Source organism: Homo sapiens, chromosome 2, assembly GCF_000001405.40.
Source record: "Homo sapiens chromosome 2, GRCh38.p14 Primary Assembly".
In the NCBI taxonomy this organism is placed as follows: Eukaryota; Metazoa; Chordata; class Mammalia; order Primates; family Hominidae; genus Homo; species Homo sapiens.
The window spans coordinates 19,567,482-19,587,441 of NC_000002.12; the positions used below are offsets into that span (position 1 = coordinate 19,567,482).

General features: G+C 41.3%; 1 annotated feature.

The window, feature by feature from the left end:
- Positions 6,873-8,976: an enhancer, noted in NCBI's record as "VISTA enhancer hs1273". NCBI's record gives its function as "enhancer in: somite[6/8] | limb[7/8] | branchial arch[7/8] | nose[7/8]" and the evidence as "EXISTENCE:transgenic organism evidence [ECO:0001131][PMID:17130149]".

A 19,960-nucleotide genomic window follows, 5' to 3' on the forward strand; every position in this document is an offset into this window, starting at 1 on the left:
TCTGGGCTCACTTTCTTGGGGTCCTCAACTACATCCCACTCTTGCTGTCCCCAAGCCCACCTCCCAAGCTCTTGCTCATACTATTCACCCTACAGGTAAGCAGTCCTTTTTCCTTTTTTTTTTTTTCTCCTTTAAGTTGGCTTCCGAGTGTTCCTTAAAATTTAGTTTCACCACCTCTTGGGAAGTCTTTCCAGCCTCTTTACATGCACTTCTTGGCACACAACAGTTTCTCTGTCCTCTGAACTCTTACATTGACTTGACTTTAAGATGTCTTTCGTACTATTCCTACACTGCTTTGTCTTGTAAATATAATAAAAGGGGGTCATCCACCACAACTGAGTTTTATAGGAGGAAAGTTATGTCGAACTGAAGTCTCTTTGGCTCTGTTGAACAGTGTTGGATACGTATATTGGGGAGGAGGCCATAAACCAAATTGAGCTACCCCACATTAGTGTTTACAAAGGTGTGGGCTACAGACACCAGCGTAAGAATCACCTTAATCACTTACCAAAAATACTGATCTGTCTTCGTATAAGGAAGCAGAAGTCCAGAAAGCAGAGAATAGGCCATGAATTTATTTTTTTAAATGTTCATGGGAGTTCATAGAAAAGTGGGAGAAGTATTTGGGCTTCCACAAGCTAGACTTCCCAAAATGGGAGTGGGGGTTTATATCAAGTCTAGATCTCAAGGAGCACAAATGTCCCAACTGACCTCTAGATGCACACTGCATTTCCCTCACTGGAAGGGAAGCCTATAGGAGTCTATAATTTTATAAACCACACAACGAGCCCAGAGCTTTATGCCCTACTCTTAGAGCATGCCAGACATAAACGTGAAAGTCAAAGCCATGGCAATTGACAAACTGCTCAAGGAAAGCATAAAATAATAGAGAATTTGGTTTAAACACATGTCATGCAGAATATCAAGCTCTTGGAAAAGAAAAGAAATAAAACTATTCCGAAGCTATTGACTCAGTCTTGGAAATTAATATCACAGCATTAAAAAGTTATCCATTGAATATCAACCTTAAAATTTGTCCCTTGAATATCGGCTTATGTATGTGTGCACATATGTATACTATATATGCATATATGCACACACATGCGCACACACACACACACACAATAAGCTCTGGGGAGTTGATATATAAATAAAAGTGACCTACTAGAGTATCTCAAAAATTATTTCCTATAAATTTATACATTCCCCTCTTTTTGTAAGCAGTATAATTTGGAAATACCTACCCATCCTTAAACTTAGAGGTTAAGAATTTACTATAGAATACTTAGACTTTACCAAATGTCTCAAACTGCCATCTAATATACGTATGTTCTCAGATCACAACAAACTCCAGTCTGATGTTATAAGTTCTGGGCTACATTCTAGATGTAGCAGAAGGTCAGCCCTGGCCAATTCCAGCATTTCTTGATCAGGATCCATCTTTTGATCAAGGGCCATTGAGGGTTGACATGTTGGAGAGCTGAGCTTTCCACTGGTCAGTGCTGGGCAGTGATGGTTTCAAACTCCACGTACTACTCTAGCTGTTCAGTGCGTAGTGCAGGAGGGTTCCTGGCATGACCAGATGAGCAAAGTTCAAAGTAAAAAAAACCCTTGAAGTTCCATCATACCCTCTATATCACCTACAATCTGAACGGATATAGCTAAACCAGTGGCTGAAGTCTCTGGCGCTATTTGCGTATCAGCCACATCTTCATCTGTTGTGTCACAGATTGGTTTGGCTGTCATATTTGAACTCCAGTCTTTTTAATTTAGAAAAAAATGCAAGACGACTGAATTTTGTCATTACAGTTCTTAAAACTACCTAAAGGAAATGAAATCGACACAAAAGAGGTAGTCACAGTTCCTTAAACCTTGCTTCAAAGTAATATCCACTTATTTACATACAATTCAACATTCTCAGTTTATCTTTATTGTCAGTCAAACGCCTATTCTAAACAGAGCTTTTGAGTCATTGAGTAAACAGGATTCTGTAGCTGGAAAGTTCACTCTACAGCTCTTCCAAGAGAGGACTTCTTACCACTTAGAGCTTCTTTTGAGGCAACAGCCAGTCTGTCTCCAAGCTCTTCACTGAGGAACTGGAGTATCCACTCCAGAGTCCCTGTGATTCTCTCCTGGGAGACCTTACAGTGACCCAATTTGTGGCTCTCTGGCCAGGATAGCCTTTTCATGAGTATTCAGTCATCTGTTACTGCGGTGCTGCTCATTTGTTCCACTGGATATCCCTTGCTCTGAGACATTCCAAGCATGCCAGCTCCCAGTTGCAGAAGTTACAGGGATAACAAAACAATAACAAAAACAATTACACAAGGTGTTAAGTGCTACAACAGATGAACATATGACATACTATAGTTTTCATTTTGCCTGAGCAAAAATGGTAAAGTCAGGCTGGGTGTTAAAGGATGGATAATGAGGGGCCATTTAAAGCTGAACAGGCTGCATTGCAAAGGATTAGAGGCACAGCAGAGCAGAAACCCAGGGAGGAAGACGAGCCACGGTGCAAACAGCCATTGGGGGTCAATGTCATAGGCCACTTCCTCCCTTATGCTGGATGACGGACATTTATTTTACCTGGAATGAGGACTCTGCATGTCCCCTGAGGCAGAGAAGAAACAAACATTTTTGTTGTTGTTTGAGACAGAGTCTCACTCGGTCGCCAGGGTGGAATACAGTGGCGCAATCTTGGCTCACTGCAACCTCCGCCTCTCAGGTTCAAGCAATCCTCCTGCCTCAGCCTCCCAAGTAGCTGGGACTACAGTTGTGCACCACCACACCCAGCTGATTTTTTTGTATTTTTAGTAGAGACAGGGTTTCGCCATGTTAGCCAGGATGGTCTCAATCACTTGACATCGTGACTCGCCCGCCTCGGCCTCCCAAAGTACTGGAATTACAGGCTTAAGCCACCATGCCCAGTCTAAACTTTTGTTAAACAAGTAAAATATTGCCAAATGCGGCACCAAACTTTTCAAAACAATAAGTCTGAGAGGCAAGAATCACGATCCTCATGTCACTGATGAGGAAACTGAGACGTGAAGAGGTTAAATAACTCCCACAGGGGAAATCGTAGATGGTAACGAATCCAGATGGAAGCCATCTCAGCCCTGGTGCTGTGTTCTTTCCATTGTGCCACACTGCTCTCCTGGCTTCTCCGAGCAGGTTGCCAGTAACCACCCCATCTGTATGCTAGAAAACAAGGCTGAGGAATTCAAGAGAGGGATCAGGCTTGGAGGCACTTCTTTGGTATCCCCTGAAGGAGCAAGCATCCATAGAAGACTCCACTGTTGTTATAATCTCACAGCAGTGTCTTAGGACTTCAAGGTGTCAGGGCCAACCAGAAGCCAGCTCTAAACAGGTTCAACGGCAGCCCTGGAAAGTGGTGGGAAGATTCCTACCACCTCTCTAAGGTGGATGGAGATAAAGCCAGGGAAGAGATTCAGCTAGGGAGACCAGCTGTTCTGGTTTGCCCCACAACACTGAAGAGTTTCCCAGGGAAGCAGGACAGTCAAAGGAGCAGCTTCTTCTTCTTCTTTTTTTTTTTTTTTTTTTTTTTTTGAGACAGTCTCACTTTGTTGCCCCGGCTTGAATACAGTGGTGCAATCTCAGCTCACTGCAACCTCTGCCTCTGGAGTTCAAGCGATTCTCCTGCCTCAGCCTAGGGGAGCAGCTTCTTTCTAGCAATGAGTCCAGGTGACTGTAGGAACCAGAGGCCAAGGGCTGGTGGGAGATCCGGTCCCAGCATTGGCTGATTCGAGGCAGTGGAAGCCGAGGTTTGGGGCAATTCCTAGGACAGCATTTTAGGGCACTACAACCTCTTCCTTTGAAGAGGCCCTGATTCTGACTTTCCCAAAGCCAAACTAGGGCCCTTGAAAGAGTTGAGGAGGCTTCCAGGGAAGCTTTTGAGTTCCCAGAGAGCACAGCAGGCACCACACACTGCAGACCCTTCATCCTACTCAGGGAATGTAGGCTGAGCTGAGTGAGACTCAAAGAGGACTGCTCTCTCCAGCTCCCATCAACCCCTTGTTTTATAAAACTTTTCCTCAAAGACCAAGTCCCTCGTGTCACTCTTTTTCAAATGCCCATGACAGCAAGCCTGACCTCCTCCGGCTGGCACTCCGCAAGTGCACCCCTCCTACAAACCTTCCCTGTACCACCTCCCAGGATGCCCTGCCTCTCTTCTGCTTCAGCTGCCTGAACCCGTCATCCTCACTACCTGCCCATCATTTGCTGGGCTTTTTTCCTTGCCACTATGCTCTCCCCACTCCCCCAAAAGGAACCTGTAATACAAAACAAGTTTGGTTCAATGTGATGCTCAACAAATACTTTAGTTCAGGGGAGCTTCTCATTATGTCTGGTTAGTTTGCTAAGGAAATGGGTCCCTGTTCATCTGTCCCCCCACCATGTGATGAAAGCAGCTCACTGCTGTTAAAACCCCATGGCTCCCTGAACCCCAGGGACGCCTTTCGATTCTGGCCCATGTCCAGGTCTCCCCTTTTATTCCTCTTTCTCCTCATCCCTGACTTCTCCCCTAGTCCTGAGAAGGAGACCTGTCATTAGGCAGGACCCACGAGGAGCTGGTTCTGCAAACAGAGTCTAGTCTCTTCTTTCTGTGCGCTGTCATATCTTCCTAAGGCTGCTGCTATAGAAGGAGCCCCTATCTAGAAGGTGGGAGGGAAGGAGAATGGGTAGGGGAAAGATGCAGGAGCAGTGACTTGGATCTTGTGCTTTCCTGAGTTTCTCGCCAGTTGAGCAGCATTTAGCAGTTGGAAAGGACATCCTATGTCCTGTCTACTGAAGTCCTGTGCCTCTGTCCCTCGCTCTCTACCCAGCACTCCGTAGCTATGGCACATGGGGGTACTGTCTCCTCTCTATTAAGTGTAATCTGGGAAAGGGAAGGCAGGCGATTCTCTCTTGATGCAGATGACGTATCCAGGGCTCTCTCTCTCTCTCTCTCTCTCTTAATGTTTATTCTTTCTGATCCAACAGTGAAAAAAATCAATTTAAAAATAGCAATTAAAACTCCCTTCTCAGAGTGCATATTTGGTTACAGTAGTCTACATCATACTACCCTCCTTACAGATGTGAAATTGCCCTGAAAGCAGAGTTGTCCAGAAGTGAAATATTAAACAATTCAAACTTAAAATGTTCCAGAGGTAGAGCAAAGAGAGCTGGGGATATATAAGTAACATACTGTGTAGAACCAGCAAAAACACACACGCATGAGCACACACGCGCGCGCGCGCGCACACACACACACACACACACAGTGTGCGGTGCGCTTTTGTGACTGCTAAAACTATAACATCTGGAATGCCATTCTGGAAAACTTCCAGATGTTTTCCATGAGGAACACTTTGTAAAAATTGTTAGCCTTCTAGGCATTTGTGAATTTTGTAAGGAGAGTACACTCCCAGGCCCACATAGGAGCAAATATAGGATTATAAAGTGCTAAATGCTTTTCACAACTGTATAAGCAATAATGCGCTTTGGGTAAATATTCAGGGAAATTATTTTTACAGACTAAGCAAAAGGATATGTTCCAACCTGCAATTAGATTTGTATTTCAGAGAAATCAAGAAATGCAGGACAGCTCATCTTAAGGCAGTTTGCCTGGGAGCCAGAGACCCTAACCTGGGAAATGTCACACATCCTGATCATTAATGTCCTCGTTTGTAGTCATTCCAACGTTGAAAGAGGCTAGCACAGTTTCATAGCTTGTTATATTTATCTTCCTTCCCAGGATTTTTATATTGCATTTTATGAATACGGCTTCAATTTATATGTAAGCCTCGTAATCATTAGCATTATGTTAAAGAAAAAAAAAGGAAAGAAAAAAATGCTTGGGAAGAAAAAACACTCCAACAACAATGCTTGGGAAACCCTTGAGAGAATTGTTAGTTTTTAAAATGCATAATATATAAACATCTTAAAGGAATATCCAGAGTTTCTTTTGAAATTAGAAATTATGTGAAGCAAGGAAAGAATCATAAAAGCTTATTGATTTCCCAAACCCACTGAGTAGAAGTATTTTTAAACCATGATTCACATAAGGGATACATTTGACACATCAATAGAAACTGGAGACCAGACTCCGCACCGCCACATCAGATACTGCTCCTAGCTGAGTTTGTTTATCATTACAAAGTGAAAAGAAATTTGTTTTTCCTCCCCTGCTCCCTCTCCCTTGAGAATGGTGATTTTTATTGATTTTGTCCTTTAGAAAACAGTTGAAGTTAAAATGGCCATGATAAACTCATCAGAGCTATTTCCCTTTTAATTCTGCACTTTGCTGCCCATTCTTCCTATGTAGGGTTTGGACCCAAACCCAGAGACAGCCATAGCTCCAGGAGCATTTTTGTTTGGAGGTAAGCTAAGGCTTTCCACTGCCCTCAAAGATTCTTCATTTGGGACCCACAGTGTCCCCCTAGGAAGAATCTGGGAAGGCTGAGCAATTGGAGCCTTCTTTGTAAATAGGTGGTATGCCCCATCTGGCGGCTCACACTGTGACCACAGAGGAGAGGGACCCAGAGGCTGCCTAAGGGCCCTGGAAACCATGAGACAGTCTCTCTCAGGCCTGTCACTCACTTCCTTGTCTCCTCCTTCATCTTCATTCATCATCATCACCCTCATGACATTTCCATGAGGGATTTTCTTGCATAAAAGCAACTCAATAATGAAATAGTTGCAAATCCAGGCATGGCAATAGAATGAAGTATGAGTCTTTCCCATTTTTTAATTTCCCAGAGTGCTGGTGAGCCAGCCCTGGGATCTCGGTGTCTGACTGGGACTCACTCACAGGTACAGCCATGAAAACTCAAAGGAGAAAGGGACACACTCTTTGTCACATTCAGCTGTGGAGCTCCCATCTCACCAGCTACACAGCCATTTCCTCAAGTGGTTAGTTTCTAAACAGCATGCTTAGCACAGGTTACTCTGAGCTCTTGGTTGTTAATACATGAAAAGAACAGAAAGCTAAGGATATTCTGATTCTACCCCAGGGCTGCTTCAAAGACAAAAGGAAAGAAATGAGAAATGGGAAAATGCCCAAGGAATCAGAAAATATCACAAGGTCAACCCACCTCGTGTAAATCAGCGCACACCGTTCCAGAGGGTCGCATAGAAACCTCACGCTCAGGTTTAATTTGCCCATCCTGAAGTATTTTTCCTAGTAGTGCCAAATGCCATAATGCTCTCTGTCAGTGATTTGAAATTATTCTATAAGCCACATATCGGGTACACTATTGTTAATGAAATGCACACAAGATGATGAACAACTTCCTTTTCCTGCTGGAGCCCCAGCTGCAACCAGTGCCTGGATCCTTCATGCTGTAAATCAGCCCTTTGTACTCCAGGAGGATTCAATGAGCTGCAGGTGTGGGCTGTGGAAGGCCGCCTGGGATTAGGTAGCAGCATTTGATATGAGATCCCAAATAGCACTGGCAATCTATGCGCCACATGCGGCCACAGGCTTTGGAGAAAGCAAAGGAAAAACGCTGATGAAATGTGGCACGGGCCCATGGAATGCAATGTCAAAGTTTCACATCTGCAGGAAAAGAAAGAGAGTTCCTAATTTTACAGTGATGATGTCATTGAGAATTCATGACAGTGGAAATGATGGGCCAAGGTTTGCAAACTTAACCACTCAGGAGGTTGCTAACTAAAGGCTGAGCTTTTCAAGGGACAGTGTGGATTTGTGTGGAACACTGATTTGCCTTCCTGACCTGAGCAGTCATAGTGTCTGTGTGTGTGTGTGTGTGTATGCATGTGTGTGCACACACATTTGCGCACAGGCTCTGGAGAGACATGGGGAGAGGAAAAGAACTTGTATTTGAGAGGTTATGCATTATGCAGGCATATCAAGCTGATATTTTGCATGCCAAATGTGTCCTTAAAAATATACTGTCTCTGTGTCATTCAGCATAAAACACTGCTGGCTGTCCTTAACAACAATATAATTTTAAAAGATTGATTTCAGACGCTCCAAAAATTCACGAGCCAAGAAAAACTATCATAGTTGTTCACTTTCTCCCTAATGTTAACTGCCGAAAAGAGCTTCTTTTTAAATATTTTTTTCTTCCTTGAGACTGAAGAGACATAAAAATAAGTCTGGTTTTGTTATTAGTACATGGATAAAATATGTATTGAAGAAAACACATCTTTAATTTTTTAAGAGTCTGTTTTTCATTAGCTTATCTTGATAGTTTAAGTTAATCATTATTTTCAGCCATATATGATTTAGATATTATGTCATTAATTCATGTACAGTCCATCTGAGTAATGATTGTGGTTTTCTACTTTACAAATTCATCTACTTCACCAAGAAACCAAGAGAGTCAAATTCCATGCAACATCTGGTTTCCATTGAATGTAATTGCCATTTGCAGAGTTATAATCATGTGTTATTGTAAGGGCCACAGTGTCAATCACTCTCCTAATGGGGAAAATTCAATGCCTAAATACCTGGGAGAACAAGAAGCTGACTTAAACAGGTGCATTCAGACACTAGGTTTTAAGTAGAATTCTAACCTACCCATTTAAATAAATCATTTTAAGGAGAAACAATATTCTTTCCATCCCCTGTAGCAAGGGAAAGCATAAAATCCAGGACTTCAATCTCCCATGCTCAGTTCCAGTACTATATCATGTTTAATCTTTTTAAAAATGTTCAAATATGCCTATATCATAGTGATTCCTTATGTTCCATACTCTCATGGGAACTCCCAAAGGCCAGGCAGGATTTTTGAAAACTTTCTGGGGGAAGGGACCATCTTCTGATTCTTCCTGCCTTACATCTTCTGATTCTTCCTGTCTTTTTTTCTTACGATGAAAATAAGCCACACTTGATTTAAGAAAATATTAAACCATTCAAACTACTAAAGTCATTATAGCTTTTTCTAGCCCATGGGGTTTTTTGGGGGGATAATCACATAAGAGGTTGAAAAAATCATGAAGCACCGTGGTAGAGAGTGCAATATGTAAGCACTTTATGGCAAAAGTGAACCACATTTCCTTGACCTCATTCTCCATTGTGTTTACAAGCCAAGCCTTGTTTGAACTGGTAAATGTTTGGCCATGCATTCAGGAAACATTTCCTAAGGCAAAAATAACACGCCAGGAATTGCACTGGACATTCAGGATGCAATGATGAATAAGACAATCTAGAGGGTGAGAGAGCACACACGCAGGTAATTACAACATCAGACAAGAAGTAGAAATAAGCCCACATATTATAGCAGCAGAGAAAGGCCATTTTATCCAGCCAGCTTAAGAAGGAGGAGTGAGTCCCAGAAGGCTCCCTGGAGAAGGTGACAGCTGAGCCAAGTTTTAAAGGATGGATAGAAGTGAAAGGCTTTCTATATAAAGGCCTTTAATTTTAGTACCTGCTAAGGAAATGTTTATGCTAGTAAACTTTTTGATTCAATAGAAATACTATGAAAAGGTAATTTACAGTTCTGTTCAATTCATTCCTTCACATAGTTATATAAATGACATTTACTATTCTATTCATTGCACGTATTCTTCTCATCTATGCAAAACTTAGGAAGCATGAGAGAAGTAGCAATTCCCACAAGCAATTTTCATTATCTTTGGCATTATCATTACTGAAATACCATCTTACATTTGAGGAACACTCTGAAATCTGCAAAAGGCTTTTGACAACATTTTATTTTCTTGTCACAGTAAGGTAGGAGGTGCAAGTATTAGATTGGTCCCACTGCAACACAGATGTTAAAAGGTCTTGGTGACAAAAGGGCTAGAATTCAAGTCTATAACCTCCATAACTAAGACTGCTGGGCTTAAAAACATGCAGCCTCTCACCTAGATGAGGAAAGAAGGAAGAACTTAGCATCTGGACCATAGTTGATGCTCACCATGATTGAACAAACGAAAACATTTCCAGCTCTCAATTAGTCATGCAGATGGAGATGACTTTACTCCAGAAAACTTAAACTAAGAGTTAACCTTCAGAACCATTTCTGTTGGTTTATCATGCATTTTGTGATCATATTGGCAGCAGATTTATTCTCACAATTTTCCTTCTTTTTAAGCAACTAGTTGAGGTTTTCCACATCCTCTGAGCGCTTCCAGACTTAAAACTGATGAGATAACCCAAAAATGCCTGAAAGGATGGCAGGATGATGCAGGCTGGAATGAATAAATACTGGTAAATAAACATATGGATAATGCATAAGTAGCAATGTCAAAATAAAATAAAATAACCTCCAAAATAGGAAAGTAAGGACTAAAGAGACCATGTCAGTAAGTAGCATTGGTTCCAGACTCAGGGATCCCACCTTCTAATACTGGCTCATGAATTATTTGTTTAGCCTCTACTAGCCCGTGGTTTTGTCATCTATTCAAGAGGAATCACAGCCTCTCCCCCACCCAGCAAACATACTTGTTGAGCGAATCAATGGAAATGTCTAATAGAAAGCTGTGCAAATTATAAAGCAGTAAGTAAATGCAGGGAAGTTATTACCCCTGACAAATTGAGAGGTGCTTCCCTTTCCATCTGAGGTTGCCAGAGATTGGTTTATAGTAATAACATCTGTCTGGTCGAGGCCCCACTGAAGATCATGAGACCCAGGGAGGCAGGAATCCAGTTTCTTGGCCTTCTGAAGTCCAGATGAAAGCTGTTTCTCAGAAAACTCTTGTTGCTTTCTGCTTTTGTTGTTGTTGTTTTGAAAGATGGTTATTTAAGTCTAAGGGGACTTTAAGCCTCCTTCCAAACAGAATCCACAGTTTCCAGAATGCCTACGTGTTTACTATAATTTGTACAATCATGTACTGTGACATAGAGCATATAACATTTCTATAAAGATGCCCTGATGTTGTATTCTAAGGCTCCTCAGAAGGCAGCCTTAGAGTTTCCCTGCCAGGGATGCTTTTCATCCTCAGAATCAGGGACTAACCAATTCTTTCTGGATCTGATTCAAGGAACCAGTCAGTAATCACTGGGAGAATCCATGCTCCCTTCGCCCTCCCTCGCCATAACTGCAGCTTTTGACAATGGATAAGCAGATAACAACATGCGTGATGGAAGGCCCCTTGAAGCCACTTTCTCCCAGGACATTTCTCACTCAGAGTTTAAAAGATGGCAAATGAGAACAGTGATATTGGCCACACCTGCAGAGAAGAATGGCCTCTCAGATTAATTGTCAGGACACCTGAAATCAGCTCCAAGTTGTGCCAATTATCAGCTATGGGGGTTCTTAGGTAAGTTTCATAAACTTTCTTGGCCTTAGTTTACACATCTATATAATGGAGAAGATATTTCTTGCTATTATACTTTAAGTGAAGGTTGTAAAATTAAATATGTAAATTATTTGAAAAGATAGCACAGTAGGTCAACAAATATGTATATACCATATGTCTTATAACTAAATGATTGTTAATAATTATCAAAGGCTCTATATTGTGTAATAAGAGCTGGCATGTATTGCATACTTGCCACATGTTTGCACTTTTTTAAGCTTGTCACAGGCTTTAACTCATTTAATTTTTACAAGCAGCCAGTGTATGCACCAGTATCATCCAACATCATTCAGGCTCAGAGAGCTTAAGTAAAAAGTAACACAGTTCCCAAGTGGTCCAGCCAGGATTTGAACCTAGGAAGTCTGGCTCCAAGGCCTGCGTGCCTCACCACTGTGCTATATTGCTTCTCATCCATGCAGGAATATATACATATACACATGTATTTCAATATCTTTATCATACTTACAAAAAAATTTACAAAAATAATACAAAGAATTTTTATATAATTTTTCCTAGATTCTCCAAATGTTAATACTTTAGCACATTTACTTTATCATTCTCTCTTTCTCTAGACAAACACGCATATTTACATTTTTCTGAATCCTTTGAGAGTTGCAGACATGATGCCCCTTAATGTCTAAATATCTCTGTATATTTCCTAAAACAAGGACATTCTCTTGCACGACCACAGTATAATTATTAAAATCAGAAATTAACCTTGATACAGTACTATTGTCTAGTCTACAGATTATAGCCACATTTTGCAAAATATCTCACCAGCATCCTGGATAGCAAAAGTTTTGTGGGTTTGGTTTTTTTTAGAACTTTTTTTTCCTGGATCTTATCCAGGATCACACATTGCATGACCTTGACATTTTTGAAGACAACTGGGTTTGGGCTTCTCTGATGTGTTCTGATTAGGTCCAGGTTGTGCATTTTTAGCCAGCATACCACAGAAGTGATGATGCGTCCTTCTCTGTGCATTTTATCAGGAAGCATATGATATCTATTTGTCACATTACTGGTGAGGTTAAAAAAAAAACATATTTTTAAACTGTGTACTTTGTTTACGAGGTAACATGTCTCTCCGCTGCCCAGGAAGCTCCCAAAGGGAGGAGTGGGGCTCCCTTCATGTCTATGTCCTCTGCCAGCCTGACACAGCACTGCACATTGGCTTTGTGCTCAGTAAACTCTTGCTTTGCTTTCTCCTTTTTGATCCATCTCTTCTGGTGATTCTTTCATGTTTACTCCTTATAATGAGAGAATCAAGGCAAAAGCCTATCTGTTTGTTCATTCTGCAACCAGGATGCCCACTCAATTTATGGAGCTCCTTGTCAGGCTCTGAACCAGTTGCTGGAAGAATACAGAGGTAAACAAAACATAGCCCCACTGTCCTCCAGGAGATGGTGTCACCTAAGCCAGCCCCTATAGCAGAGAGAGAATGGTGGACTCGTCCTTCCTCCACCATCCCAGGATCTCCAGCCTCAAGACCTTTTCTCCCCAGCTTCCACCCCCATTTTCCCACTTTACTTCTCAACAGTCAGGGTCCTGTCTTCTGTCTCACCAATTACCCAGTAGTTAAGTGTCAGAGTGTCAGAGGCTTCTGGTAAGATCATGTGTTTCCTTCCTGATAACATGTTTGCTTACTAGTAGCAGTTTCCTAGAAACAGGAACTTAACTAAAGGAGTGATCCTAGTGGTAGGATGTTCAGGAGGCAGGAAGATTTCTAAGCAGCAGTGCCATTCGGATTCTTCCACACTGCACAGCAGAGTGGTGTCCCCTGTCCCTTTGTTCTGTAGATGTGACCTCTAATCAGAACTGGCCTCACTGTCCCCCTCACCCAGGACATGCAGAAGTCCCACAGTGGACTGCACACCAGAACTCTCCAAGAAGCAGGTTAATGAAGAAAAGAAGGAAATGTGATTGACACCATCTTTATGTCACTAAAAATGTCTAGTTTCTGCCTTTGATCTAATTAGTAAATGCAGGATCAAGTCATCTTTTTATTTATTGAAAGCCTGGCTCTGTGAGGGGACAAGCTTCAGGTGAGCCAGAGAGAAATCAGGAAAAGCATGCCCCCTGCCCTCCTGGAGTTTGTAGTTCAGCCCCCCAACCCTCCCTGACCAGCAAATGCAATGGGCATTTGGCAAGCTTGTCAACATGTCATCACCTGCTGATGTGGTGCAGTAGCCTTTGACAAGTGCACGTGTTACTGTCCAGTCACAGCCAGTCATTAAAGTGAAAAGTCAACACAAACTACTGCTTTCAAAGAAAGCAGTCTCACTCTGCCGTCTGGGACCAGGGCAGATGCAGGGCCCCTATGGCAGCACAGACAGATGGAATGCAGGAGGAGGAAGGGTCAAGAACATGGCAGCTGGCCAGGCGTGGTGTCTCATGCCTGTAATTCCAGCACTTTGGGAGGCTGAGGCGGGCAGATCATGAGGTCAGGAGATCAAGACCATCCTGGCTAACACAGTGAAACCCTGTCTCTACTAAAAATGCAAAAAGTTAGCCAGGCGTGGTTGCGGTCACTTGTAGTCCCAGCTACTCAGGAGGCTGAGGCAGGAGAATGGGGGGAACCTGGGAGCCGGATCTTGCAGTGAGCCAAGATCGCGCCACTGCACTCCAGCCTGGGCGACAGAGAGAGATTCTGTCTCAAAAGAAAAAAAAAAGAACATGGCAGCCTCTGCTGGTGATACCCAGGCAAACAGGGTCTGCAGTGGACTTCCAGCAAACTCCAGCAGACCTGCAGAAGAGGGGCCTGACTGTTAGAAGGAAAAATAACAAACAGAAAGGAGTAGCATCAACAATAAAAGGGACGTCCACTCAGAGACCCCATCTGAAGGTCAGCGACTTCAAAGACCAAAGGTAGATAAATCTGCAAAGATGAGGAAAAACCAGCACAAAAAGGCTGAAAATTGCAAAAACCAGAATGCCTCTTCTCCTACAAAGGATCACAACTCCTCACCAGCAAGAGAACAAAACTGGACAGAGAATGAGTTTGACGAGTTGACAGAAGTAGGCTTCAGAAGGTGGGTAATAACAAACTCCTCCAAGCTAAAGGAGCATGTTCTAACCCATCGCAAGGAAGCTAAAAACCTTGAGAAAAGGTTAGATGAATGGCTAACTTACCAGTATACAGAAGAACAGACTGATGGAGACAGAACATCTGATGGAGCTAAAAAGCACAGAACGAGAACTTTGTGAAGCATACACAAGTATCAGTAGCCAAACTGATCAAGCAGAAGAAAGGATATCAGAGATTGAAGATCAACTGAACAAAATAAAGTGTGAAGACAAGATTAGAGAAAAAAGAATGAAAAGGAACAAACAAAGCATCCAAGAAATATGGGACTATATGAAAAGATCATACCTATGTGTGATTGGTGTACGTGAAAGTGACAGGCAGAATGGAATCAAGCTGGAAAACACTCTTCAGGATATTAGCCAAGAGAACTTCTCCAGCCTAGCAAGAAAGGCCAACATTCAAATTCAGGAAATACAGAGAACACCACAAAGGTACTCCTCAAGAAGAGCAACCCCAAGAAAAGTAATTGTCAGATTCACCAAGGTTGAAATGAAGGAAAAAATGTTAAGGGCAGCCAGAGAGAAAGGCCAGGTTACCCACAAAGGGAAGCCCATCAGACTAACAGCAGATCTCTCTGCAGAAACCCTACAAGCCAGAAGAGAGTGGGGGCCAATATTCGACATTCTTAAAGAAAAGAATTTTCAACCCAGAATTTCATATCCAGCCAAACTAAGCTTCATAAGCAAAGGAGAAATAAAATCCTTTACAGACAAGGAAATGCTGAGAGATTTTGTTACCACCAAGCCTGCCTTACAAGAGCTCCTGAAGGAAGCACCAAATATGGAAAGGAACAACCAGTACCAGCCACTGCAAAAACACACCAAATTCTAAAGACCATAGACGCTACAAAGAAACTGCAACTAATGGGCAGACTAACCAGCTAGCATCATAATGACTGGATCAAATTCACACACAACAATATTAACCTTAAACATAAATGGGCTAAATGCCCCAATTAAAACACACAGACTGGCAAATTGGATAAAGAGTCAAGACCCACAGATGTGCTATAATCAGGAGACCCTTCTCACGTGCAAAGACACACATAGGTTCAAAATAAAGGGATGGAGGGATATTTACCAAACGAATAGAAAGCAAAACAAAGCAGGGGTTGCGATCCTAGTCTCTGATAAAACAGACTTTAAACCAACAAAGACCAAAAAAGACAAAGAGGCGCATTACATAATGGTAAACGGATCAATGCAACAAGAAGAGCTAACTATCCTAAATATATATGCACCCAATACAGGAGCACCCAGATTCATAAAGCAAGTTCTTAGAGACCTACAAAGAGACTTAGACTCTGACACAATAATAGTGTGAGACTTTAACACCCTACTGTCAATATTAGACAGATCAATGAGACAAAAACTTAACAAGCATATTCAGGACTTGAACTCAGCTCTGGACCAAGCAGACTGAATAGACACCTACAGAACTCTCCACCCCAAATCAACAGAATATACATTCTTCTTAGCACCACATGGCAGTTATTCTAAAACTGACCACATAATTGGAAGTAAAACACTCCTCAGCAAATGCAAAAGAATGGAAATCAGAACAGTCTCTCAGACTACAGTGCAATCAAATTAGAACTCAGGATTAAGAAATGCACTCAAAATTGCACAACTACATGGAAACTGAACAACCTGCTCCTGAATGAGTACTGGGTAAATAACAAAATTAAGGCAGAAATAAGTAAGTTCTTTGAAACCAATGAAAACAAAGACACAATGCACAAGGATCTCTGGGACACAGCTAAAGCAGTGTTTGGAGGGAAATTTATAGCACCAATTGCCCACAGGAGAAAGTAAGAAAGATCTAAAATCAACACCCTAACATCACAATTAAAAGAACTAGAGAAGCAAGAACAAACAAATTCAAAAGCTAGCAGTAGACAAGAAATAACTAAGATCAAAGCAGAACTGAGAAAGATAGAGACATGAAAAACCCTTCAAAAAATCAATGAATCCAGCAGCTGGTTTTAGGAAAAGATTAACAGAATAGATAGACCGCTAGCCAGACTAATAAAGAAGAAAAGAGAGAAGAATCAAATAGACACAATAAAAAATGATAAAGGGGATATCACCACTGATCCCACAGAAATACAAACTACTATCAGAGAATACTATAAACATCTCTATGCAAATAAACTCGAAAATCTAGAAGAAATAGATAAATTCCTGGACACATACACCCTCCCAAGACTAAACCAGGAAAAAGTTGAAGCCCTGAATAGACCAGTAACAAGTTCTGAAATTCAACCAGTAATTAATAGCCTAGCAACTAAACAAAAGCCCAGAACCAGACAGATTCACAACTGAATTCTACCAGAGGTACAAAGAGGAGCTGGTACCATTCCTTCTGAAACTATTGCAAATGATAGAAAAAGAGGGACTCCTCCCTAACTCATTTTATGAGGCCAGCATCATCCTGATACCAAAACCTGGCAGAGACACAACAAAAAAAGAAAATTTCAGACCAATATCCCTGATGAACATTGATGTGAAAATCCTCAATAAAATATTGGCAAACTGAATCCAGCAGCACATCAAAAAGCTTATCCACCATGATCAAATTGGCTTCCTCCCTGGGATGCAAGGCTAGTTCAACATATGCAAATCAATAAATGCAATCCATCACATAAACAGAACCAATGACAAAAACCACATGATTATTTCAATAGATGCAGAAAAGGCCTTCAATAAAATTCAACACCCCTTCATGCTAAAAACTCTCAATAAACTAGGTATTGATGGAATGTATCTCAAAATAAGAAGAGCTATTTATGAAAACCCACAGCCAATATCATACTGAATGGGCAAAAGCTGGGAGCATTCCCTTTGAAAACTGGCACAAGACTCTCACCACTCCTATTCGACATAGTATTGGAAGTTCTAGTCAGGGCAATCAGGCAAGAGAAAGAAATAAAGGGTATTCAAGTAGGAAGAGAGGAAGTCAAATTGTCTCTGTTTGCAGATGACATGATTGTATATTTAGAAAACCCCATCATCTCAGCCCAAAATCTCCTTAAGCTGATAAGCAACTTCAGCAAAGTCTCAAGATACAAAATCAATGTGCAAAAATCACAAGCATTCCTATACACCAATAACAGACAAACAGAGAGCCAAATCATGAGTGAACTCCCATTCACAATTGCTACAATGAGAATAAAATACCTAGGAATACAACTTACAAGGGATGTGAAAGACCTCTTCAAGGAAAACTACAAACCACTGCTCAAGGAAATAAGAGAGGACACAAACAAATGGAAAAAAACATTCCATGCCCGTAGATAGGAAGAACCAATATCATGAAAATGTCCATACTGCCCAAAGTAATTTATAGATTCAATGCTATCCCCATCAAGCTACCATTGACTTTCTTCACAGAATTAGAAAAAACTACTTTAAATTTCATATGGAACCAAAAAAGAACCCATATAGCCAAGACAATCCTAAGCAAAAAAAACAAAGCTGAAGTCATCATGCTACCTGACTTCAAACTACATTAAAAGGCTATGGTAACCAAAATAGCATGGCATTGACACCAAAAGAGATATAAGACCAATGGAACACAACAGAGGCCTCAGAAATAATGCCACACATCTACAACCATCTGATCTTTGACAAACCTGACAAAAACAAGCAATGGGGAAAGGATTACCTATTTAATAAATTTATTTATTAACAAATAGAGAATAAATATGCAGAAAACTGAAACTGGACCACTTCCTTACACCTTATACAAAAATTAACTCAAGATGGATTAAAGACTTAAACATATGACCTAAAACCATAAAAACCTTAGAAGAAAATCTAGGCAGTACTATTCAGGATATAGGCATGGGCAAAGACTTCATGACCTAAACACCAAAAGCAATGGCAACAAAAGCCAAAATTGACAAATGGGATCTAACTAAACTAAAGAGCTTCTGCACAACAAAATAAATTTTCATCAGAGTGAACAGGCAACCTACTGAATGGGAGAACATCTTTGCAATCTATACATGTGACAAAGGGCTCATATCCAGAATCTACAAGGAACTTAAACAAATTTGCAACAAAAAAAAAACCCATCAAAAAGTGGGCGAAGGATATGAACAGATACTTTTCAAAAGGAGACATTTATGCAGCCAACAAACATATGGAAAAAAAAGTTCATCATCACTGGTCATTAGCAAAATGCAAATCAAAACCACAATGAGATACCATCTCACGCCAGTTAGAATGGTAATCATTAAAAAGTCAGAAACAGGCTGGGCATGGTGGCTCACGCCTGTAATACCAGCACTGCGGGAAGCCAAGGCGGGTGGATCACAAGGTCAGGAGATCGAGACCACCCTGGCTAACACAGTGAAACCCTGTCTCTACTAAAAATACAAAAAAAAAAAAAAATTAGCCAGGCGTGGTGGGGTGCACCTGTAGTCCCAGCTACTCGGGAGGCTGAAGCAGGAGAATGGCGTGAATCCAGGAGGCGGAGGTTGCAGTGAGCCAAGATCGTGCCACTGCACTCCAGCCTGGGTGACAGAGTGAGACTCCATCTCAAAAAAAAAAAAGTCAAAAACAACAGATGCTGGAGAGGATGTGGAAAAACAGGAATGCTTTTACACCGTTGGTGGGAGTATAAATTAGTTCAACCATTGTGGAAGACAGCTTGGGGATTCCTAAGGGATCTAGAACCAGAAATACCATTTGACCCAACAATCCCATTACTGGGTATATACCCAAAGGATTATAAGTCATTCTACTATAAAGACACACATACACGTATGTTTATTGCAGCACTATTCACAATAACAAAGACTTGGAACCAATCCAAATGCCCATCAATGATAGACTGGATAAAGAAAACGTGGCACATATACACCATGGAATACTATGCAGCCATAAAAAGGATGAGTTCGTGTCCTTTGCGGGGATATGAATGAAGCCGGAAACCATCATTCTCAGCAAACTAACACAGGAACAGAAAACCAAACACTGCAAGTTCTCACTCATAAGTGGGAGTTGAACAATGAGAACACATGGAGACAGAGAGAGGAATATCAAACACTGGGGCCTACTGGGTTGAGGGGGTTAGGGGAGGGATAGCATTAGGATGAATACACAATGTAGATGATGGGTTGATGGGTTCAGCAAACTACCATGGCACGTGTATACCTATGTAACAAACCTGCACGTTCTGCATGTGTATCCCAGAACCTAAAGTATAATTTAAAAAAAAAAAAAAAGAAAAATCATGAAAAATATATAAATAAATAAAATAAAATAAAAATAAATAAATAAAGGAACATGGCCTTTGGATTTCAATGGTTGGATTTCAGTGCCAACACTAACAAGCTGATGAACTCCAGATAAATGATTTAACGGGGCTAGATAAATCTCCTCACTTGTAACACTGGAATATTAATAGAACCTATCTCAAAATGTTGTAAGGAATAAATGAGATGTAAACTGTGTAGCTCCACTGACAGGAAAATGATAAGGTTCCAGGAGCTGACAGCATTATTAAGATGTCTTTACCTTTCTGGAATTAAGGGCTAAGAACAATGTTTCTCAATCCCCACTCTCAGATTGGTCCAGAATTTCCAGCCGATGG